The sequence below is a fragment of the Homo sapiens genome, chromosome 15 (assembly GCF_000001405.40).
Source record: "Homo sapiens chromosome 15, GRCh38.p14 Primary Assembly".
NCBI lineage: Eukaryota > Metazoa > Chordata > Mammalia > Primates > Hominidae > Homo > Homo sapiens.
In genome coordinates, this window is record NC_000015.10 from 47,177,518 (window position 1) to 47,203,882 (window position 26,365).

At 38.4% G+C, this 26,365-nt stretch overlaps 1 protein-coding gene across 1 annotated transcript in view; it reads left to right on the plus strand.

Annotated features, from left to right (window-relative positions):
• Positions 6,572-26,365, plus strand: part of SEMA6D (semaphorin 6D) — a 590,140-nt gene continuing 570,346 nt past the window's right edge. The window contains exon 1 of the mRNA NM_001198999.2: positions 6,572-6,901. The gene's annotated coding sequence lies outside the window, so the exon portion shown is untranslated. The remainder of the gene's footprint in view (positions 6,902-26,365) is intronic.

The window sequence follows — 26,365 nt, forward strand, 5'->3', positions numbered from 1 at the left end:
GCTACTAAGTTTTGGAGTGATTTTTAGCTACAATTGATAACTGCAACAGTCAACATATCATTTTAATGAAATATTTAAGCCACTCAGATTTCACTTCCGCAACAGATTTTTATTATACTCATTTGGATGATAGCAAATCAAGGAGAAAAGAGGTCTATGACTGGATCTGAGAATGGATACAGGAATGAGGTGAAATGAGTTAATGACAAAAATAAATTATTAATATCTGGCAGTAGAATTTCTCCTGGTTTCAGAATTGCATTTGTTTAGAAAAAAGAAAAATCCTTAGTAAGTATATCAAGTCGGATTAAGTCTGGCTGCATGTAATAGAAAAAAACAACAACATAATAATGTCGGTAGCTTAAATGATATAGATGTTTATTTTCCTTGTGTTTATAAGGAAAATCAAAGACTGACAGTCCGGGGCTGCTAAGGTCTTCCTGTGATTTTCTGGGACCCAGGTCCCTTCTATGTTGATGCTCTACCATCAAATGGTATTGCTCCATGGTCTGTGATGGCTGGTCAAGCTCTGGAATTCGGGTCTGTATTCTAATCAGCAGTAATAAAGGGAAGGTGCAGAGGGAGAAAAAGACTGTACCAAACTTCTGCTTACATCTCATGGAGAGAATTAAATCAAAAGGCCACACATAGCTAAAAGAATGAAGAAGTCTTCTATATTGCTAGGTAACATGTGATGTGAGCACTAAATATGGTCAATAGGTCTTAATAAAGACTACTTTATTTAAATTACTTTGTGTGAAAGTATTGTGTATGTGTGTGTGTATGTAAGTAATTTGCTGAATAGCTGAGAGTCATGTATGGAAAAATGTCTGGAAGAGTGGCATTAATGTGAAAGATCCCCGAAGTAGAAGTGACAAAGACAAAGTAATCCTCTTGGAGTTTTTTGAACAAATTTTAGGGAGGACTTTATACTTCAGCAGATTGCAAAACAAAGATTCAAGCCAATCATGTCTTTCTTTACTTTTTATTATTTAAAATGTAAAGAACACACAAGATCAGAATTAATGATATAATGAAGCCCCACCTAGCCATCACTCAGTTTCAAAAATTTCAACACAGGATTAATATTGTTTCATTTGTACACCACTGACTTTTCTCTGTCTCCAACACTGGATTATTTTGAAGCAAATAGCAGACATATCACAAGCTAATCTTTCTTAGATCACAAAGGATCAAAGACCCTGAAAGCCTCTGGATTAAATGTGGGAAAATGTATAAAGTCAATCACTGTAGGGTCAAAGAGCAAGATTTGGATAGATTTAGAGAAAACGGTAGATAGTATAAGCAGTTTAGAATTGAATAAAAATAAAATATGTAGAGAGCTACAAGATTATTAAGTAAGCCAAACATGAGAAAGATGGAATGACAACAGAGAGTAGGTAGTGGATTTGTGAAATAGCTAAACATACGCAAAGGAAAAGAGGAGAAAATTATGCAGGTTACAGAACCTTCAAGGAGTTGCCAATGGATAACAAACCATGACTTACAAGATGAAGATGAAAGGAAAAGTGAAGAGGTCAATGGCAAACACCGCTGGCTATTTGGCTAATATCCTTTCTAATTGTTCGCCTTAGTAATAGACCCCAGTTGTATTTATTCAGCAATGTATCCTGCTAAAAGACAATTCCTATCCTCTCCTTGCACATAGAGTAGGTGAAATTCATTGAATAGGACAAGCTCTTTAAAGGAGACTGATTCAGCTGGAGAAGCTCACTTTTTATCCGTTACTTTCTATTTCCAGTTCCTAAAGTCATGATTCCTGGAGTCTTAACAGCCATCAGGGGCTAAAACCAGTGCAGGGTGTTGAAGCTTGTATCACCTTGCATTAATGACTGTGGTGACACCACATTAGCTGTGGCCAGCTGAACTCTGCACTGCTGATACAGGAGACAAAGAAGAGCCACTTGTGCTGAGAAGAGTGGGGGTCTCTATTAAATGTGGCCAAGACTAATTTAATTGACATAGGTATCATGAAAGCGATATAGTAAAAAGTATTTGAAGGATGAATGGGAATTTTTACTGAGCAAAACTGGATGAATGAAACATTTTCCACTGATCAATAGATGTTGTTGTTCTGTAGACAGTGTCTCTCTCAATTGAATTTTTGGATAAAAAAGACAAAGACTCAAACATTTCTTGCAGAGCAGCTCTCCAAAGCTGAGCCAGAATCAAAGACTCAGTGGTGTCGCCCATTATTACTTATTAATTATTACTATTAGTACTAACCTCTTAAAATTCTACTATACTTTGTCAATTTTACAGCACTTTCTTATAAATTACCTCATATCCATTCATTCATTCATTCATTTAACTAAGATGTTTTGAGCACTTATGTGTAAATCCTCATAGTAGGCATGCCTGGGGGACAAAGCACTGCATGGAATCATAGCAGGTAAGGCCCCCAAAATTGTTGCCATATAGTGATTGAGTACCCTATGCTGAACATTTTACAAGGTTTATGGTCTATTTCTACAGAGGAGGAAACTAAGTCTCAAATAACTTCGTGATTTCCTTGACTTTGTCCCTCTCGTATTTCCAATACAGACCACATAAATTATTATCATCTCTGCCTTTGCCCTTTTGTACACTTACTATATATCTTGCTGCCAGCAGTTATGGGGGAAAGGGTACAAAGGGGCAGAACTATTTACTTAATGCTGGCCAGAACTATTGTACTAAATCCAAAAAACTGTGAATAGGGTTAAAGTAGTTCAAAAGGAAAAATACGTTTCCATCCTAATCTGATCTACTGTTTGTATGTTAAATAGTGGCATGCTGAACATTTGGTATAACCTAATGGGAAATCCCTCACGGGCAGAATAGACTTAGACTCTGTGAATACATCTTAGAGAAGTCACATCATACCCTCTTTTCTGCTATGTAAGCAAGGCACCACCAGCCCTAGGCCAGTAGTGAGGGGTTAAATCTCGTTTCAGCCCTGCTTTAAGTGAACATACATTAGTCCCACTGAAGGCTTGGGGAGAAGGGATAAAATGGGAAATGCATGAGCATTTGAAAAATCAAAAATAGGGTTGTCAGTATATCAAATAAAAATACAAAGTACCTACTTAAACTTGAATTTCAGATAAATAATGAATAACTCCTTAGTATAGCTATGTTCCGAAATCCCATCGATTGCATGGCTAACAACAGGTTGCAAAATAGAGGCAATTTATTGTCTGAATATTGCATGGCACATGGACTCATTCTGAAACTGTTTATCTGTAATTTGTATTTAACTGGATGTAATTTGTATTAACTGGATATTTTATCTGGTGGTCCCAGTTAAAAAGAAATATAATACCTTCATCAAGGTTCTTAATTTAACGTACTAGAGCATCTCAGAGGTCAAGAGAGCCTGAATTACATTCTAGAAGAATTTATGTATTTTTTCATTTTACAAATTAACACTTTTAACTATAATGAATAATGAATATGTTCACTAGATAATTATAGCATACATATTTAAAATTAAACCAGATATTGATTTTTTATATTTTATTTTATTGTGGTAAGAACACTTAAAGGAGATCTTACCCTCTTAAATTTTTAAGTGTATAATACATTATTGTTGCCTATAGGTACAATGCTGTACAGCAGATCTCTTGTGCTTGCCCATCTCACTTGACTGAAACTTTATGTCTGTTGATTAGTAATGCCTCCTTCTTACTTACTAGCAGTAGGGTAGTTCTGGCACTATTATACAAGGATGCTAAAATCCTAAATAAAATATTAGTAAATTAAAAAAATTGTAAACTATCATGTACTTTAGGCAATATGGTTGGGTAGTGAGCAACAAATTTAAATTTTCAAGTCTACTTTAAATCATATAAGTATATCCCAGTTATTGTATGTATTTATTATTTGGAGATAATGGCAAAGTCTAGATCGGAAGGCTTTTATATAATATGCTGAGAGCTAAATGTTCCTCTCTCCTCCTCCTTCACTCCCCACAAATGATTGGCTTCATTGGCCACAGAAGAGAAAATTGATCAATTGCTTGAAATATCTTTTTGTTTCATCCCCAGGTATTGAAAGTCATCTTGCAGATTTGGGAACTGTATTTTCATTTCCTTTGGCTGTTGTAACAAATTACCACAAACTTGGTGATTTAAAACAATATACACTTATTTCTGTACAGTTCTGGAGGCCAGAAGTCCAAAATCACTTTCACTGGACAGAAATCAATATGAAAGCAGGATTGTGCTTCCTTGAGAAGCTCTTGGAGAGAATTCCTTCCTTGCCTCTTCCAGCTTCTGGTGGCTGCTGCCATTCATTGGCTTGTGACTGCATCATTCCAATCTTTGTCTCTGTGGTCACATTCCCTTTTCCTCTTCTGTGTCTCAAATTTCCTTCTGTCTCCTACTTAAAAGGACCTATGATTGCACTTAAGGCCCACGCTGATAATCCAGGATAATCTCCCCTTCTCAGGATTCTTAATTTCATCACATCTGCAAAATCCATTTTCTTCCATATAAAGTAACAGAGTTTCTAGGGGATTAGAACATGGGTATCTGTGGGGGCCATTATTTAACCTGCCACAGGAACTGACATTGCTCACTGCTGGGTCCCTGAAGAACACAAATTGGCTTGTTGGTGGGCTTGGCCAGGAATCGGTTTAGCTGGAGATGCCTTTCACTGATTGTGAAGGAGGTCCTAGAACCCAAACGTGAAGGCTCAGCGATCTGTCACGCACACCTGATGTCATGAGCATGGACCATGTCCCTCTCATGTTTCAAATACAGGCCACAGGTAGGGTCCATAGTCCCACCACAGAAAGCAGTTCTTGTGGTATTGAGGTCAATTATATGTCCTCAAAAACCTGAAGTTCTACCCATTTCATTACCGTCTCTTCTTCCTGCTATGATGCTAAGTGTGGATGGGTAAACATTCATTATTTTTAAAATGCTCATTAACATGTATTAGGTGCCAGGGATTATGGCAGGCCATTTAAAGCATGGTGGTCGAGAAAGCAGCCTCTGAAGCAGATTGCCAGGGATCTAATTTCTGCTCCACTAATTACTGGCTATGTGATATACCTCTATGCCTATGTTCCCCGACTATAAAATAGGCTCTATCTCACAAGGTTGTTGAGGATTAAATGAGCTATTATGTGTTAATGCTTGGACCAATGGCTGGCTGCTACCTGATCTTTGGTCTCTCTAGACTTAACAAATGTTAATTACTATTTATTTGAATGGAGAAACCAAAGAGATATGGAGCCCTGTGTGAGACACAGGGATAGCTAAGGCAAGATATGTTCATGAAAGTAATTTTAAGTTTAGGAGTTAAGACAATAAGTTTAACAAGAGGTCTGAGCATTGAGAGGTGTTTGTTTATTGTTTTTTAGAACTCTGACTTAAGTGAGTCAAGCAAGAGAAGAGAAAGAGGGAGGGAAAAATAAATGCTATTTTTGGAGGAAAGATGGTTGGGTAAGCTCTCTGTGGTACTGGTAGGCAGGTTTTGCATGTGGCTGGGTAGCTGGGCAGTCAAGTATTGCATTAACGCCAGCCTGATGCAGCTTGGGCTGGTGTGAAGAACCATGGGATCTCTAAGGCTTAGGGGTCTTCACATTTAGTGACCACCAAGTTACCAACCTGAGTATCATCTTAGAAAAAGTGGGTAATACTTACAAGGAAGACTTGTTTCAAGAATTAAAGGAACGTATGAGCAATCATCCAGCTAACTCCAAAATGCTTTGTTTTCCACAGGACTAATTATATGGGATACAAGCCAAGCATACAAATTGAAGTCTTCCTTCCTTTAAATACCACATAAAACCACCAAAGCTTGCCTCATATTTAAGGGACATTCACTCCTTGAACATTGTTTGAATACGTACTGTATGCCGAGGACCACACTAGGAGCTGTTGACAAAGTTATGAATATGAGTATGAATTATTTCTGCCTGAACAAACTTACAGACCAATAGTTCTGCCTAGAGAAACTTAAAGACCAGTAGTAGAGGAAGTAATCCAAACAGGAAAATGTCACATGAGTGATAGGTATTATCATGAAACTAAGAACAGAATGCTGAGGGAAGCCCTTAGAAAGGAACTTCTCATTGTCTGCAGAAACAGGGAAAAGTAAATATAAAAATATTTCCACAACAATAACAGCGAGGAAGCGGGCTCATTAGAAAAGGGCACGTGTGGCTTGGATTGGGGTAAAGAGGGTGTTCTGGAACTTTGTGGGCCTTTTTGCATATGGAGAAAAGCTGGGCTGACAGTCTAACTCCAAAGGCCAATGAACAGCGGTTAGATGATTAACACCTGGGAATACATTTCTACAGTATTAAAAGTGATATGTAGCTCATTTAAAGAAATACATCTTAATATGTAGTACACAATATATCTAAACCATCGCAACGACAAAATCAAAGCAAGGTCCTTTGCACCGAAGGGCCTGGGGAGATGTGGGCGAAGACCCCAGGACCTTTCCCCTGCTCAGAGACCAAAGGGTTTTCAGAGCGGAGGTGGGGGCTCCCGGCAGGGGAAGTTAGAGCCGAGGGAGCGGCAGGAGCACGTGGGCTGAGTGGGGGTGGGAGGACGCAGACGGCGGAGTAACCGGTGGAAGTGTCAAAGAGGAAGGAGTGGAGGGCTGCTGAGGTGACAGGGTGTGGTCTGTGAGGGAGCGGACGAACCCGGAGAAGAGAGCAGAGAGACCCACCAGGACTAGGAGGCAGCGGGGAGCGTGCCTGCGTCGCTCGGAGCGGTGACAGCAAGGAGCGCAGCGCGGAGGCCGGGCGGCAAGGGGAGTTTCCAGTCCTCGATAAGTGGAGTCCCTGCTCTGCGCTGCGCCAGCGCCTTCCGCCTGGGCCCGCGGTGCTAGACACCTGCCGAGTCCGAAGCGGGAGTCAGGCTGAGCCTTCGGCCCCCAAGTAAGTCTTCCCTTTTCTCTCCATTTCTCCTCCGTCGCCTTTACTTCTTTATCTGCGAAGCGAGGAGCTGCTGACGGAGGTTCTGCGCGAAAAGCGCACCGGGGAGCTCTGGCGGCGTCCAGGATGCTCCAGCCTCCCGGCGCGCCGCGGCCGGCGCAGAGACCCGACCGCGAGGCCCGCCGCCCGGTTCCCGTGCGCAGCATGGCCCGAGGCGGCGGCAGAGTTGTTGGCACTGATAAGACCCGTCTTTTGTGTCTTGCCCGATCCCGGAGCTGTGCCAGGCCGGGGGGAGGGAGCGGAAGCCACTTTATGGCTCGTGGCCCCACCTCTTGCCCCCACCCCAAATCCTCCGGGATTTCAAAATGCCGCGGACTCGGGCGCAAGTGAGCGCCAAACCCGCAAGCTGGGCGAGTTGGATCCGGGTCGGCAGCCGGCTGAACCGCCACGCTGCCCCGCTTTTTTTATTTTCTTTTTAGATACGGCATCTAATTGGTGGGTGCTGGGAGGCAGGGCTGGTTGGGTGAGCACGAGTACCTGGGTGTAGGGAACGACCTACCTTCTTGCTTTCCTTGGGGTTTAGAGGGGAAGGGGTGGGGGCACCCAGAGCCCCGAAGCCCGGAGCGTCCCGCGCTAGCGGGCTTGCGCGCGGCCGGCGAGCAGGCGTTCTCTGGGTGGGTCCCTTGTCTGGCTCATTGTTCGCGGTGACTGTTCTTGGGGCCAGGCTGAGCGACACAGACACCGCTCACCGGGCTGTAAATAAAAGTGACGACTTGGAGGAGTGGGGGTCAAGGCTGCCGGGAGGGAAAAGGCTTGCCCATTTTAGAAACCGACTTGGAGCTCGGAAGAGCAAACGTAGTCGACAGAGAAAACCGCTCCTGAGTGCGAAACTTAGATCTGACTCTAATTCACAGAGACAGCCTAGTAAATTAAACCCTCAGGAACAGGGCACGGTATTTCCCCCATTGAAATTGTTTTCAGAGTAACGAAGATGGAGTTTTAAGTGTTATTGACAGCTGGCCGCTTTCTCTTGCTAGCACCTGTTTCCCTTAAAGATTCCTGGGTGGGGTTTATTTTTTCGCCCCCTCCCTCCTTTTTTTAGAATGTGCATTTATTCCATTTGTGCCTTCAGCTAGTCGAGTTGCATGGTGCTGGGAGGAGAATCCATTTTTGAAAGCAAAGTGCAATTTCCACTCTACAAATGGCCAAGCACTGGTGTAGACGTCCATTGCTCCCCCACCCTGGCCGCATGCTAACATTCATGGAGGCAGACATGTGTACCCAGAATCAGAGGGAGCCGGTTATCCTCAGTTGGAGATCCCAAAAGACTTCTGCATACAGTTCCTTTCGTTGGATGGTAGATACTCTTATTTGACTTTCTTCCATTCTTTAAATTACAATGGTATCACCTGTTCATGGTGCCTATTCCTTAGCCCACTACAAAGGAGGATGCATTTTGCTGGGAAAAAAATGCTCTTTCTTTTTCTGAGGTCCGTGGGTAGTATTCAGAATAAGCTCTTGACAAGAGAAATTATTAAATTATTATGATTTCTTATATATGTGTGTATATATAAATATATATGTACAAGTTTACAATATTGTCTACAAATATACAATATTTGTGTATATATATGTGTATATATGTATGTATGTGTGCATGTATATATATGTGTGTGCATATATATATACACATATATAGTATTTGTAGCTGGTTGTAAATCCCAGTAGTTACTAATGCACCCAACTGACCTGGTTATATTTCACTTTGACATCCCTGATGGACCTGCTAAGTGTATCAATCTGATGAAGCCTGGAGTTCCAGCCCTCAGGAGAAGTACTTAACATGAACACCTCTCTATGACGGCAGTCTGATTCCACAGGGAAAAACCATGTAGTGGGAGTGTTGTTGAGGGTATGGAAAGCTGTATGATTTATTCCAAGGAGAGAAGAGAGAGTTAGGTAGAAGAAAATAAAAATGGAAACTGGGTAGGCATCCAGACCATACTCACGGTTCGACAAATATGTATGTGGAAAAGTGTATTTATTGTGTTCTCTCTCTCTCTTTTATCATAATGTTTATAACCTTAATGCTTTCATAGCAGCATTCGTACCTCTTTTTTTTTTTTGCTTAAAAACTATTATATTTTCAACTCTATTATTTTACATTTTCAATGCCGTTCGTGCCCACTGAATGCATTGGATTATCTTTTCAATTGTTCTTTTGTCTACTTGTATACCATGTCCAACTTAGTACAGGACCACATGAACAATGAATCAACCAGGTTCTAATGAAGATTAAGACATGAAGAGTATTCACAGCTATGTATAAACTGTATACTCATTTAACCATCTTCCCACATGACCAATTTTAGCTAGTAGCTTGTTCATCTTCTGAAGTCTCCAGACTCCAAATTCTTACCCAGATTGATTACTGCACTAAATCTTGATTGTGCAAAGAACAGAACTTAATTATTTTGGTCTCATTTGTCAGTCAGCAGTATTTAGTGTTGCCAAGATAATTATATCATTGAAGTATGCATGACTTTAAAATATGTTGAAAAAGGTCTTTCTAAACTTGTTCATAAAGAAAAAAAAAAGTCCTTGTGAAGCCATAATTTCACTGCTGTAGGCCTCCTGGCCATTCGCGTTTATTGAGTTTACTCTTCCACATGAAGAATGAACCATTGTTTTGTTGTCTAGGAACTGAAGGAAGATGGAAAGGGGGCATAGAAAATGAAGCACTTGTAAATGTTATTATTTTCTGTATTTGGAAAATAAATATTTTTAAGTAAATAACGATTATCTTCTTAAAGATACACTAAAACCTTATTAAGAGATCTGAGAAAAAAAGAATTTTCAAAATAGAAATGCTAGCTGCTTCTAAATATTCATAAAAGGTTGGTGTTTACAAACACATATATTTTTGAACCAATCTCAAGATTTTTATGTCTTTCTATGGAATTATGAAGTGTTATTCAATTATTATTAAAACATTGAAATCTCATCAAAACTTATATTTAAACGTACTGTCTTTTTGCAAGTGCTTTAATTGTAATAGCCTGTTTGTTGAGATTAAAAAGAACATCATTGATGTCATGGTGTGCTTTGCATTTTAAAATAGTGGCTAATGAATTACAAACATTCATTACTCAACAACTACTTGCTGAAATTTCTCAGGACCCCCAAATAGAGATTTATTTGTACTATATACTATCATTCATGCCCTTGCTGAGTTTATGTTGATACCCTTTTTCTTCTTCAAAATTAATTGCCTTTTAAATTAATACTATGTTGGGTCTGACTCTTTTGTTATTTTTCTCCTATGTCATAAATTTATGTGCAAATATCTTCAGCATTGTCTGGTTAGAGAACTTACTGTTGAAAACGTGGGAATTAGTGGGGGGAGGGGTGAAGAGAGAAGAACAACTTTTATTAAACCTGGAGTCAGGACTTAAGACAGGAAAAGAAGGGCAAGTTTCATTTAATAAAATTCACTGAGGAATTTGTCTTTGACCTTTAAAAGTCCGAGCTGTGTAGTACATAATATACATTTGGGTAAATCAGGCACTAACTTCATAAAGCATAAGGCAAAATAAGAGAGTTTCATGGTGTCTTTGCTTTGCTACATTTGAATGGTGGCTTTAATTCCACTCACTTTTTTATTTTTGGGGGATGCTGTTCTATTTATGTAAAAATGGATATCGTCAATGTTTATTTTGGGAACATTTTATTTTAAAAGCTTAGTTTCTTCTATGAGTTTAGCTCTTATTAAATGTTTACTAAGAAAGATGATGTTTGATTCAGTTTTCATAACTAAATGCAACTAGAAACACATTGATTAAGTGATTCAAATAAGCCCATTTAAATACTAAATTTAGTCTTCTCTTTCACAAGCTATTGTGAAGAAAATGCTTTGAATTAGATTTTTATTTTAATAACCAATATTCATTTATATTTCCTGTAACGTGAAGACTAACATTAATGGGTAATAAAAATGAAACATTTGTGAAATGAGGAGATATAAGACAATGCAAATTAATGATTGTGTGTACTCTTGATACCTAGCTTTTTTTCTGATAAATTAGTATTTTTAATCTCAGGGGTAATGTAGATTTCTTAACTGATTACATTTTCTTTTTGCTTTAGGCACAAGAAAGCTCAGAGCCCATGGGAGATTTAATTTATTATCATATAAGACTCCTTGGAATGAATATATGTGTTATCTTTCCAAATGACCTTACTTTATTCTACTTATGTATACAATTTCTCTGTCATAATGTCTTATTTTGTTTTTCTTTTTCAATTGTGGAAGAAGGCAGATCATCAAAGTTGTTATGAATAAGTGTTTAGAAGTACAATCAAGCCTGCAAGTAGTTATTAAGGTCTAATATTGCAAATGCTGAGGTGACATGAGACAAAGGAGGCAAGATTTCTGATCTAAAGATACTTGTATTCTGGCTGGGTGGAGAAGCCATAAACTCCTAAGGAATTAGCTCAAAGTAAGTCAACATGTGCATACATCTGTTGCACCAAAATGAAAGCCCAACCCTGACTTTAATGACATTCAGTTTCTAGAAAAACACTATTATAGCACCAATCAGAAAAGCCAAGTAACTAAATCTTTTAATTTTCTGGGCACACTAAGACTTAAGTAGTCTGAGGATATCAGGGTGGAAATAAATGTAGAAAAAGTTATTGTGATTCCATGGTAGTGGAAACTCCCATACACTTCTCTTTCCCTTTCTCTTTCTCTTTTCCTCTCTTCTCTTTCTTGATTCCTCTGTCTCTCTATCATTGGCTTTCCCCTTGCTACCCTGGCAGACCTGATTGACAGGTGTGACAATTCCCATGGCAAGCTAATCCCACCAGGCTGGCAGCTTTTGAAATTTCTATGTAAATACAGTATTTGTTCTAAGTACCACACTTAAATACAGTAGTTAACGTTTAAGCACCCACAGGTTGTTTCTCTTTGTACTTGAATCAACAACCATTTTCAGCTCTTAGAAGGGACCACCCACAAAACTGTACTTTTTGACTGTAGAAAAACTCAGGGAGAAACAAATAAAATGAAGCAAAAAGTTGAGAGAAAAAAAACCCCAAAAACCACAAAACTAAATTATCGCTAAATTATCGACCCAAGGAGGCATGGTTAGGCTAAGGCCAAAAACTCTGAATTAAACTTCCAAATCTAACCAGCTACCTCTAGATGTAAACCTGATTTTCATCTTTTCTATCACCCACATAGACATGACTTTTTTTTCCAGACATCTTGATTACAGTTAATGTTAAAATAGCTTCAAGTCTAAAATGCAGATGTGTTGTCTTGAACTGAAACGAACTATCAAACAGACAATGATAAATAATGATCATTTAAACTTGGCCTTTTAAAAAGCACATTGGATACAATAAAAATCAGTGTATTAGTACACTAAATGTGCTTCCAATTATGATATAAATAGTGCATAAAGCTTTAAAATTTTCATCAAATTAATGTATCACTGACATGCAAATTAACTACTGACATCTATGGTGTATGCCATGTGATGATTTCTAATTGGCAAGTGAACCTCAGAGGATTATTTATAGATTACACTGCAACAAAGTGCTGGAGTAAATTCGCATTGTGCAGCTCAATTCAAATTGGTGTTTGAGCTTTGATTCTCTTCACTTTTTCACACCCCTTTTGATCTCCAAAGGCTCTCAGAAATAAGCTAGCTAAGGTGCTAAATATCTAATTAATAACATTTGGGCAGAGAATTTGTCTTCAAATGACCCCTAAGAGATTTGGAGACCAGTTAATATCCCTCACTAGCTTGTTCAGGTATGAATAACTCTTGAGGCTGTTGAGTTTGAACTCCAAGATTTGGTAACATCCATTTCCATCCAAAGCACGTAAGAGAAATGTTCACACAGGAAAAGTGAGGAGGAAACTTGAAAATTTACCAAGTGTATTAATTTTTAAGAACAGCTGCTTCTAAGGATCTAAGTGGAAATCCTGTATTATTCTCTAATGGCAATTGAGGCTTCTTTTATCTTTACTTTCCATTACAATTTGTGTATGAAGAATGCAGTGAGAGAATTACAATGTATCTGCAATTCCCATACTATGTTATTAGCTCCAAGTTTGGCCTTTCTTTATTCCATGTCCGTGTCTCCCTAAAGGTAGAATGACCAAATAAAAAATGAAGAAGTAAGTCCATTTATTCTGAACAGTTTCATTTATTATGTGTTTTATACATGACCTCATGAGGCAAAGATACATTAGTGTAAATTCCTGCTTACAAAGATCTAACTTATTAAATAACTTTTTAATGTATTAACCTTTTCAATATTTTCTTCATACTATATCCATCCTGGAATGTACAACTTAGCCTGCCAAGTTGGTTAAATGTCTATCTTTTCTTAAAGATTGTTAAAAAGAAACTCTCTTTTTGAAGGAATCTCCATAGCTGGGTTTAAACTTGACATCCTTGATTGGGTGAGGTGGCTCATACCTGTAATCGCAGAACTTTGGGAGGCTGAGATGAGAGGACTGTTTGAGCCCAGGAGTTCCAAACCAGCTGTGGCAACATTCGGAGACCCTGTCTCTATAAATGATAATAGTAATAATAGCCGGGTGCAGTCATACACGCCTGTACTCCCCACAAGTGGAGAGGCTGAAGTGGGAGGAACTCTCTAGGCCTGGGAGCTTGAGGCTGCAGAGAGCCGTGATTGTGCCACTGCACTCTAGCCTGAGCAACAGAGTGATACCCTGTCTCAAAACATATATATATATATATATACTTGATATTCTTTTTGTAAGAGCTTGTGTTTGTGGTGTGTTTTATAGTTTATATTGAAATCATGAAAATATTTAGACAATCTAAAAAATATATACAAATACAGTATTTATTATAAGTATTACTATCATCCTAAAGCTGAGGAGATAAACTAAATATTGGATACAAGCAACACATGGAAGTGAATACTAGCGTTATTTTTAACACTTTTGAATAATTTGTTCTTAGGCCTGTTACCTTTTATGGAAAGGTGCCTTCACTAGTAATGAGGCCATGGCGTGGGTATGATCAAGGCAACTTGACTTCTTGCTGATAAAGGTTTATAAGGAAATTTATCTTTTGATTAGGAAACCTCACTTAATTTCATTAATAAACATTGAATGAGGACTTACCGTGTCCCAGGTATTGAAATAAGAAATGACTATTAAAAAGAAATGAAAAGGTCCCTGCTCTGAAGGTATTTAGAATACAATGAAAAATTAAATGTATCAAATAAATGTGTAGATGAAATCATACATATTACAGGATGTTGGGGGAGCTATAATGAAGGGTGTATGTCTCAATTTAGGAGATGGTATAGAAAAGCTTAATGGGAGAATTGAAGCTAAAAGTCAGGTATAAATTTTTCAGGTGACGAAGCAGTAGATAGTAGTCTCTGTTATAGAGTTGCTGGAGAGAAGGCAGAAAAGTGAGGCACAGATGGAGAATCAAGAAAGTCGAGCAGGAAGTATACATTAGACCAAGGTTATCATAGCACTCTGGACCAGAGATGAAGATTTAGAAGTGTAATCCTGAATCCAACGTTCTTATACTTTGCCTACATCCATGAAGCTGAACATATCTAAGGGAAATACACAACCATGGTGTCATTTCGTACTCATTAATCTTAAGTATGTTCTTAAGGTTATCAGGTGATCTTACTGTGCTTCCTGAGTCTATATGATACTTTCTCCTCTCTCCTTAAACACTCAGTGCCTCTGTCTACACCCTCACTCTCAGATGAAGGCCATGCTTCCTATTCACTGATAAAATGGAGAACATCAGAAAGGAACTTCCATTGACACTCACTGCCACATCTATCCATCTACCAGCACCTGCTCCCACATAATCTACCTCCTTTCAAGTTTTCTCACAGAGCCCTGGTGGAATTTCAACAGTTGTATCTTAGTAGAATGCAATGTAGAAATGGGTAAATGCAATTTGCCAATGAAAAAGACTATTCCCTTAGACCTAGAACTTCTATTTTTATTTATTTAACCTTAGGAAATAATCTGGGTTTCAGTCAAAAATTTATATAAAGGAAGTTTCTTTGAATACTGTAAAATTAGAAACAATACATCTGCCCAAAGATGGGAAAAAAGCATGTTTATCATCATTAAAAAGCATTTTTTTCAAAGAATAACTATTGATAAGGTAAAAATGAATGATATAGTGTAAAAAGAAAAATAAAACAATACTGTACAGAGTATATCTTACAATGTTATGATTGTACATAGAAATGACCAGAAAAATGAACATGTTAAAAGGCTGCCCTATCAGATATTGAAATGGAAATTGTTCTGTGTAGCAAATCTATTGAAGATATACTCATCTTGGAAGAGACAACTTGATGGGAAGATTCTGGCCACACAGAAAATGTCTACTGAATAGAGACAATAGAAAAATCACAATAGAGAAAAACGTTGTCCTGTTTCCAGCAGGCATTTCTCTTACCTAGTATATCCAATCCACCAAATTTCATAGAATTAACTGCTAAAAGACATGACAAATTAACTTAATTCTTGCTATCTCCACTGCTATCCTTCTGGTCTGAGAAACCATCATTTTGGGCCTGGATCATTGCCTTATCTCCCAGCAGTTTCCTCTCACGCTTGCCCTTGCAGAAACAAAGATCTGAGAGGCCATATTGCATGGTGTTTGAAGCATGGACCCCATGGATGGGCTGCCTGAGTACAAGTCCCAGAGCTTTCCCTTAATAGCTGTGAGACTTGGGGCAGGTTACTTCTCTTCCATTTTCTCATCAATAAAATTGACAATATTAATACATATCTTATAAGGTTGTTATGAGGATCAAATGAGTATCCCTAATATGAAAATACAAAATACGAAATGCTCCAAGATCTGCAACTTTTTGAGCACAGACATGACACTCACAGGAAATGCTAATTGGAGCATTTTGGATTTCAGATTTTCAGATTAGGGATGCTGAACTTGTAAGTCTACTGCAAATATTCCCAAATCACCACAAAAAGATCTAAAATCTGAAACACTTGTAATCTCAAGAATAAGGAATACTGAACCTTATGTTTTAGCTGTTTGTCAAGGCCGAAATTGGATTATACTCTTCTCTGCTTAAAACCATCCAAAGGCTTCTCATTACACTTTGAATGGAATCCTTGTAGTCACATACATCAACTTCAATTCTCACCACTCTCTGCTTCCTTGGTATTTCTATGAAAAACAAAAACAAAAACAAAACAAAAAAACTCTTGTTCTGTCACAGGGCCTTTGTGCATGCTGTTCCCTTCATCTGGGACACTTTTATTGACTCTTCATAGCTTCTTCCTGCCCTTCATGTCTCTAGCTCTGCCTTCTCCTTGAAAAGCCTGTCTGTGACTTCTATTAATCTGCAGAATATCTCTTACTCTTTTTATTCACTCTTTATTCCTTATTGTCTCTTTAATAGACCTTATCTCAATTTGAGCTTTTCTTTTGTTTGGTTAACTCTTTTCCCCTCTATTTCATGACTAGATTTTAAATTCTGTGAAACAAGGATAATGTCTGTTGTGATTACATTTGTTCCCTTAATACTTAACAGAGAGTACAGCATATGGTAGACAACTAAATAAATATTGGGTGAGTGGGTAGGTGGATGGATGGATGGGTGGATGGGTGGATGGGTGGATGGATGGATGGGTGGATGGGTGGATGGGTGGATGGATGATAGGTTTGGTTGGCTGGCTGAGATTCTTACTATTAAGATCATGGAATTGTATTTCTGAGAGAAGCTAACTTAATATTTACAAGGTCAAATATATATGTCATATATGTGTCACTAAGGAGATACAGAAGGTTAAGTTATTAACACTCCTTATCATTTACTTCTGGTACCTAATGTCTTAAAAATGCTTGTCAAAACACCGGTGCATTTTGAAAGAGTTAGAGAGTTTGAGAGGGAGAGTGGGGAGGTAAGTGGACTGGGGGACTCTAGACTTGAAGATACTTCAGGCCAGGACAGACCTATGGGAAATTGCGTGTGGGGGCTAGGGAGTGGGCAGGGTTGAGGTGGAAGTATTAAGGTGTTGGTAGTCCAGGCATTCAAGAGGAAGTATCAGATCAGCATTTCACAAAGAACCAGGTCAAAAATACTACATAAAGTAACTTCTTCTTAGCTTTAGAGAATGTTCAGTAGGGCCTTGCACACATAGTACCAAAATATGTGAATGAAATATTTGTCTAGGAAATTACAGTTACCTGATGTCATGACATAAAAACAAAACTGTTTTCTTTCTTTGACTCAGCCAGTTTTTAAAATGGTAGTCAGTCAACTGGAGTATGTACATATGTGAGTGTATCTATCTTTACAGACAAACTTTTTGTTCCACCTAGGAAGATACTTCATATGGAAGATGTTTTCATGTACTGCTTTTTATCATAAAAGTATAAAGGCCTGGAAAGTTTTGTGTTGAATGATGTTCTCTTTGTCTTACCAGGAGGTGTCACTACAGCTCACTCAAACTTAACTAGTGCATTCTATAGGGATCAACCGGTGTCAGCACTTACCAGAATAGCATTACCTGCCTACTAAGTTTTCCACCAAGTTACGTAAAGGAAATTTGATGAAAAAAAGAATCATTTCCAGATGCCTATTTCTCCTCCATACAAATATTCTTATCATTAATTACCTGAAACTTAAAAACTTGTTTAATATTCTAGAAACAAATGGCATTTTTACTTTCCCTTGAGTGTTAAGTGGGGACAGTGGAGAAAAAAAGAGCAGAATAAAAAGAGGAAAGATGGACACAGAGAAACATGAAAAGAAGGGTGAAACAGAAGTGTTTCCAGTGACAATGTGCTGTGTGAAGACCCCAGAGCACATTGCTTTCTCACCTGTCTTACTTGGGCTGCATCATCCGTTCCCTGCCCTTTATCTCTGCCCAGATAAGTCTAACTTTCTCTGCCAGAGCTGGGATAATTAGAACAAAAATGATTATCTGGTGTTGAGCTAATATACTATCACAGCTCTTTGACATATATAATTTTCTATCTCCCCTGATAACATTATAAGATAGGTATTAATACAAAAATTTTCCAGGGGAAGAAAATGAAAATCAGAAAGTTTGCATGATTTGTGGTTATAATTGTGTATTTTACCATGGTCTTACCAGATGTCAAAACCACACTCTTGTTCTTTTCATGATGCCTCTAAAGGATCACTCTCACGGGAGACTTTCCTAATGTCCTTTAACCCCTGACCCTGACCAATTTAGGTATCTCTTCTCGGGGTTCCACTGCATCTTGTGCTCGCCGTGTTTGAACATTTATCATGAATGAGCACAGCCTTCTATTCTCTTGTCTACCTCTTCATCCAGAGTCTGAGCACTTTGAGGGTGGACACGATGTCTTGTTGAAAGAACAGAATGTGAGACCCCCATTAACTGGATGGGTGAGTAAGAGGAAAGGCTCACCTACAGATGGGGATTCAACGTGGGTGAGCGTGTGGATGAAGGACAGCAGAGAAAGCAAGGCCCCCCAGGCCACCTGCCTTCACCCACCACCACTGGCCTCAGGTGCTCCACAGCAAGTTATCAATGAAGGGGAAAGTTTCAGATTTTTTTTTTTTTGGAGACGTGAGAACAGGGTTAACCACCCAAGAAGCAGGTGATATTCATCCAGCATAGCCCACACGTTGTAGGTCCACTAGGACTGGAGGGAAGTAACTGGCATCTGAGGAGCTATGTGTTCTGCTGTCCTCCAGGTGGCAGCATGGCCCAGCTGTTGGAGACAAGCTCAGTTCTTGGACATCCCTAATGCTGCCAGACTCAGAACTGTTCTCAAGGCGTTTAGTGCCCTGGGAATGATTAATGGCTCTGCCCGTTCACTGCACCCGGAGGGTAATTGAGCCTGCAGTATTTTGGAGGCTGCAGAGAGGCTTTCTGAGCCACTGTCTGATAGAAGGGGCTGCAACATTTTGGATATTATATCCCTTGGGAGACCTCCTGGAGGACATTTGTGTGCCAAAAGAGATCTTTGGTAGAACTCTTTAAAGAGGAAAAAAGACAGCCCCCCTAAAATATGGGGAAATTGAGCAGTTTTAACGTTTTTTCAGAAATTTGGTTTGCTGTATGTTCCATATTCTTTTTTCCTTCTTTGGTTCTGAAATAATATTCCTTTCCACCTGACTTAAAGCAAATCCTTTGGAAGGTAGCTTATGTTAATTGACTGAGTATTTTGAAAGCATGCAGGCAGAGCTATGTAAAATGTCTTAATTTAAATCAGCGCTAAGCCCTTTCATATTGTAAGCTGAGGTATTTAAAAGTAAGATGATTGGAAATTTCTAAAGTTGCACACGATTCAAGAGAATGCGAAACATGTTAGAAAGAGCTACTGGCACGAGGCTACAGCATCCATTTATTCTCAATATACACATAATATCAATTATAGAAGACAACCAACAAAAGATCTTAAGCTTGTCAGGTTGGGTTTGTGTGGCTGCTTCTGTTCATTAGAATTTTGAGTAACTGGGAAAACTACCAGATTCTTAATGGTTTCTTGAACAGGATATACTAGGAGATCTTAGCACTGTTAAGAAAAAAAATCACATATAAATTCAAAAAACCTTTGCTCATCTATGTGGCCAAATGGGGAATCTAACCCTCCCCCTTTCTGTAGTTTGGATTTAAGTACCTGTGGTGGTGGTTTTTTAGCTTCTTCTGTGGATTCATTAATATCACTTTGGTACTTTCAAGAACAGTTGTTCTTCCCTAACCTGTGAGATTTTACTCTCCATTATAGAAGAGTCTCTCCTCCTAGCCTGTGATGATTTGATGCTGTACCCTGTATACGAGGTTATCTTCCAGATGTTTAGAGAGCCAAACTTAACTGGTTCTCTGTGTGCCAACACTTTTAAGTTTTCACAGGCAGTGAGTTTAAGGTCTTTAAATCATTGGAATAGAGTAGAAAATCAGAAGAACAATTAGGATGGCCCCTCAAATTCTGTTTTTAAATTAGGTTACAGATGTGCATAGACTGCTCTTCTATCTTGCCTTGCTTTGTTAAATTTATCTCAAAGATTGAACTTGCAAGTGTCTTTTTTTTTTTTTGTAATGAAGACCTAAGCTAAAGATTGAAAGAAAGGAGTGGAGAGGGGGAATTAATTGAAATAAATCCACAATAGTTCATTCATAGCCTCTAATTTAACTACCACAACAAAATTAGTGGGAAAAAAAAATCCTAGCATTAAGTCTTGTTTGATGATTCTTGACTCACTGAAGGGCTTTTCTCAGCCTACCAGTTTCTTTGGCTGTTTTGGATAATTTATCAGAAATGTCTTGAAATGACCTCTTGATATGGAGATCTGTATTCCCATGCCGTCATTAATTATTGCACTGTTTAATATATACACACTATGGAGTACTCTAAGTATTATTGTTTATATTTCTTATTTTTTTTACTAATTTTTCAAAATACAAATTTCTTTCTGTGTCATATTTGTAAACTAATAATAATTTTTGGATATATTTAAATCATTTCCTTGGGGAGTCAAAAGGCTTACTGTCCTAGAAAAGGACAGAGTTGGTATTACCTGACACATGTAACATAATGCCCTCCAACTTCATCTGAGTTGTTGCAAATTACAGATTTTCCTTATTTTTTTGTGGCTGAATGGTACTCCATTGTGTATATACCTCATGATCTCACTCACACGTGGAATGTAAAAAATTGATCTCATAGATGTGGAGAGTAGGATGGTGGTTACCAGGGGTTGGTGCAGAGGGTGGGAAGATCTTGGTCAAAGGATATAAAATTTCAGTTAGACAGGAGGAATAGGTTCAAGAAATCCATTGTACAAATGGTGACGATAGTTAATATACTGAATTCTTGAAAATTGCTGTGGGCGGATTTTGTGTTCTCACTACAAAATATGACAACTCTGTGAGGTAATGCATATGTTGATTGGCTTGATTATACCATTCAAAGTATGTATTTTTCAGGATTTGATATTGTGCAATATAAATATATACAATTTTATCTGTCAATTAAAAAAATAAGATATGGATCCCATTGTGTCTAGGATCATGTTGATTCCTAAAGACAGAGCTCTAAGGAAGTGGATTAGGTGAAAACAATAACAGCTTGGCCTCCTCCTCTGCTTAGAAGGGCTCCTGTGTTGTGTAACTCCCAAGTGAATCTTTCACACCAAGGGTGGTCCAAGCAGGGACCTGGATTCACACTTGCAATTGGATGAGATTTTTTTTTCTCTTTTCTTTGGGGAGGATAACGGTTAATTAGTAAGCAAGAGAACCAGGATTCAAATTTAACTTTTTCTAAACCCAAAGCCCAAAATTTTCATTCTGCTTCCTTGACACCAATATTTTTGACAAACTGTTTGTAGCAAAGGATCACAAAATTATACAGTGACAGGAGGGAGGACACGTATACGTCAATATGTTTTTGTGCTTCTCTGAAACACCTAAGGGAAGAGATTTCAATGGGTACAGTTTGGAGTCCTTTCCTGGGAAGGAACTTCCCTTAAAAAGCATCATTCTGAGGACTAAACAGGAAAAAGATGTGGAAGAGAAAAACATTGACAACTACTTTACACTTTTCCCCTATTGGTTTTGCCTTTGTGCCTCAGCATCAGCAGTAAGTAATTGGGCTTTAAGATCATTAAAAGTTTCTGTATGTAAGTCCACTTGTTTGTTTGTTTATCTGTTTTTATCTCATTATTTCTAGTCTTTCCACAAAATATTTCAGGAAGCAAATGTGTTAGGATAGTTAAATAGACCTATTGGCTAATGAAGAGGTTTATATTAAGGTGCAGAAGAAAGTTATGAAAACAGATGGTTTCAGCTGCTCTCATTACCAGCCATGAATTACACCACCTGGAGAACTGCAATTCCTGTGAATTCACAATACATTTCCAGCAAAGTGTTTTGCTGAGTAGTCTTGCTGGGTGGAGTAGGTTTTGTAGTTGAGTAAGGCAAAGGTATAAGCAAGCCACTTAGAGCTCTGTACTCTAGGAAGAGTGTGTGTCTCCCCTACAAAAGCAGAAAATAAAAACATTCCTGTTTTACTTGGAATATGTTTTAGAACAAATATTTAAATATCTAAGTGGATATGTACATGGGTCCTTGTGTATGTGTGTGATATTTCTGCAATTCCTTCCAAAAAAATGATGTAGTCCCATTGTGAAAACCTAACTACAGAAGAGCTAGAAATTTATTTATTCCATCTTGACCTGTGCTCAACTTTTCCATGATAAAACACTCCTCAAACCTTCCTTTGCAAGAAAACTTGCTAAACTAAAATATATCTCTCCTCTCTCCTGCCTTCTCAGTACCAAAGTGTAGGATTTATTCTAGAGTATTTTGTGTATATGTGTGTGTGTGTGAACTGAGATGTCTAATAATACAAATAAATGGCATTTACCAAATTCATACTGTGCATTTTGCAGTGAGCTAGGTTAGCTAGTTACATACGTTATTTCATTTAGTTCTCATTATGAAAGTTACTATTATTAATACTGTTTGACAGATTTAAAAAAACAGAATCTTTGAGAGGCCAAGTAGCATGCCTAGATTTCAGCCAGTTGCGGTAGAACTGAGGTCATCCTCAGAGAACACACTTTTATGATGTATATCTATGTGTCTTTGTCTATATACTCCATATCACTACGTTCTGCTCAAACCAAAAGCAAGATTACTCAACAAAGGAACACTGAAGATTATCTGTGTACTTAAGTTGCCCTGAAATAAGGGAAAGGGCGAAAGGGCTGTGGAAATCACAAGACTCCAGTTTTGATTTAGCTCCCCTTGCTTCCTCAATCTGTGAGTATCTGATGTGCTGATCTTATTAGCTTGTTGGGAAGAAGACCAACTATATTTGTGAAAAGTGTTACAAGACTATAAAGGACTAGGAAACAAGGTACAACTAATCAGATAAACAAATTTAAGTGGTACCTGTTTGAGGGAGAGTTGGCAACCCTTCTCTGGGGTCAGAAAATTATATTTTATAAAATTCACATATCTGTTGGGAACAAAATATGTACTCAAAAGCATAAAATAAGCCTGGAATAAATTCACAGTGCCACTTTTAATTATAATTCTTAGGATTTTAGTCAATGTTAATTATTACTGTTTTATTCTAGTGAATTACTAAAATAAAGAAATATTAATTATGCGCTATTCTAACCAGCTTTAAATTTATGTAGTAAAGTCATTAAAAGTTTCTATCTGGTATTAGCATAAAAGTACACATACAATTCCACTATTTTACTAAGGCTGACATTTTGAGGTTGAGTTACAACTGCAGGGCAGTTTTCAAAAAATTGCCCTACAAACATCATATGAATACATTTTACACATTTATAGGTAGAAAAAGAAAGATATTTCCAAAAGTTAACCTAGAATGCTGCCCCAGCATTTGCTGGTTTCTATGCTTGACAAAATCATTCTTCATTGATTTAGAAAAAGTTACCAAAACAATATGATGACTGAATGATTTCTTGTTTCACCAGAGCTGCGTGGTTTCTTTGAGTGTGCTTTAAGAGAGAGGGAGAAGCCAGGGTGGGCATGAAGAGCCAGTATGTAAGCTGTATTCAAGGTGGTCTCTGTCTTTTTAGAGCTAAGGGAAACTGTCTTTTGCCTTGTCTTATTCATCGATTTAGTAGAAAGCTTGTGTGTGTTTTATATTTTGGAATATTCAGTCTTTTAGATTTACTTCCAAATAATTTATTTCTACATTATGCTTCTTTGTTTGTAGAGAACAATACTTACACAAGTGTTTTATGAAGTAAAATGAACCAACACTACACTCTACAAAGGGAATTTCAAAATAAAAACCATTACGGATGAATGGCATACATTACAGACATCTCTACCATATGTCTTAATGGGTCTGTTGTACTGAGCCCATTTACAAAATTCATAGGCCTAATTTATCTAAGAAATAGAGCGATAATGCTTTCAAGACAAGGAAAGAAATAGAAATGTGGTAAATATAAAAGACACATTAATAATTTTTCCTATGACCCTGATTTCTGTCTTTTCTTTTAAATTATTCAGAGTCATATCAGAAGGATAGTTTTAATAATACAGACATTATTCAATATCAGTAGAAGTTTGGCAACATTACTTCCTAGAGTAGGTGGTTTTGAGACAGAGTAGGGACAGGGCTTGGCTTCACCCCCACTAGAGGATTCTTTTATGCAGTCCCACAGATCACAAAACCTATACCACTACCTCACTGAAGCCGTAATGTTTAACCATACCTTTTACTTAATTCCAGAAACTGGCCTTAAGAGATCCAAATATTAAACCAAGATTGTGGAGTGTCCCACCTCAGGAAGGAATGCTGGACAATTGATTTACAGCCTGTTGCTGTTGGTCAGACCACCAGTTGGTCTCTTATTCAAGATAATTTCTATACCCTACTCCTCACATACTTTGCCCAGCCCAGACGGCATGCCTTATTCCTGATGTCAGTTCCCACACTTTGCCTAATAAAAAACCTCTGCTGGCTTTTTTGGGGGGTCAGCTGGAGGATCCTTGAGCTTATGCTGCCTTCCTTATGCTTGAGCACAAGCCCCAAAATAAAAGCTTTGTTTGGGAAATTGCTTGGCCTCATGTTAATGTTCATTACATGGGGAGCCACAAGCCTGTGGTCTGTAACAGATTCAGAGGATGGGAGAACTTCCGATATCATTATGTTACAGTAGGTAGCTAATCAGGAATGAGCAGGTCAGGAGAGGGCCTCCCTGACCCCATCAGGAATGTTAGGCGACCATCAGGTGATTGTCGGGAAGTTGTTACACTGCGTCTCTAAAATAATAATTGGTCACAGCCAGTCCCTGAGAAAGGCGGTCTCCCAATAAATAGATACAACTGAAACGGGTGATCAACAGCTTCCTGATAAGATCTCAGGAGTTGGGCGGGTGGCCTCAAGCAGACACATTAAGAGGCAAAATGGCAGAGTTTAACTGGTGTATGGCCTTCCAGGGACATTCGATTGGTAAGGGAAGAATGCCTCAAGTGAGCATGTGTACAACTCCAGTAGACACACTGTACATGCTCACCTCCCAAGCACTAGCAGGCCACTGCACATATGGACACCACGCCTCCTCCCAAGGAAAGAATCAGGGGAGAAGAGATGCAAGACCCTGGAAGTATGTCAACATATAAAACCCCAAGTCAAACGGTCAAACCATGCACTTGATCTCTCAAGTCACCTTCGTGGCCCTCTTCCAAGTATACTTTACTTCCTTTCATTCCTGTTCTAAAGCTTTTTAGTAAACTCACTCCTGCTCTAAAACTTGCCGCAGTTTCTCTTTCTGCCTTACGCCCCTCAATTGAATTTGTTTCTTCTGAGAAGGCAAGAATTGAGGTTGCTTCAGACCCTTACAGATTTTTAGCTGGTAACAATTACACTTCTAAGAGCGAAAAAATGTGGACAAAGTGTAGGAAATTCTGTAATGAAGGAATTTCTGGGATGTAGACTCTATCCACCATGGTGTATAAAATATGTCTGAGAGATATCTCTCTCCAACAACATCTCTTTCTTTCCTTTTAGTGAAAACAAAGAAGGCAAAATATTTATATAATTAGATCCTTAATTGTTTTTTAAAAAGTTATTTTCAAAAGGAGTCTGAACTGTTGTTTGTTCAGCTTCCTTTTCTGGACCTGCCTGTTTGAACTGACTCAGTTGATACCACCTTTCACTATTAAAAGTTTTGGGACTCAGAAGGCAATACCCCCAAACTGGCACTTTGACATGTTGAGAGGTCTTAGAAGCTGCCTCAGAATCAAGTTCCCTCTAACCTTGTTCTATTCCCCCACCCCCAATTGCATGGAGGGACTCTTTCTGGAATTTCTTATCTGACTAAGAAAGCTTCTTTCCAAAAGAAAGGCAATTGTCTTAAGATCCTCTCCCTAGGAATCTCATCAAATAGCTAGGAAAGATCAATCACTGGAAAAGAGAAGAGACTGGAAGTCCATCACCACACCCACGCAGATTTTTCATCTGTTCTTCTGAGGGCAGCTCTGAGAGATTGTCTAGGAGACTTTATATGTCTAAGAACAAGACAACCTTTAACCTTTGTTCCTGTGCCTTTCCACCCTTACAGGCCAATCCATTCCCCCATTTTCCTCTTCCCTATGAAGAGGTCATTTAAGCTTCAACCATCTGGCCCATCTTTGAGCTCATACTTTATAGGACTCCCATGCTCATGTGTGTATGTAAAACATTTGTTATGCTTTTCTCTAGGTAACCTGTTTTTGTAATAAGAGTGTCAACCTTGACCCTTTATGATAGGGAGGAAAAGGATCATCACCTTCTTTCTGCCCCTGCAAAAGGAAAATACTTTGGGCATGTTAAGAGTTATTGAATGAATCTAATTGTTTTGTGGACATGAAAATCCACACATTCCTATTTGTTTATTTAATTTAAGAGACTGAAAATATTATAAATC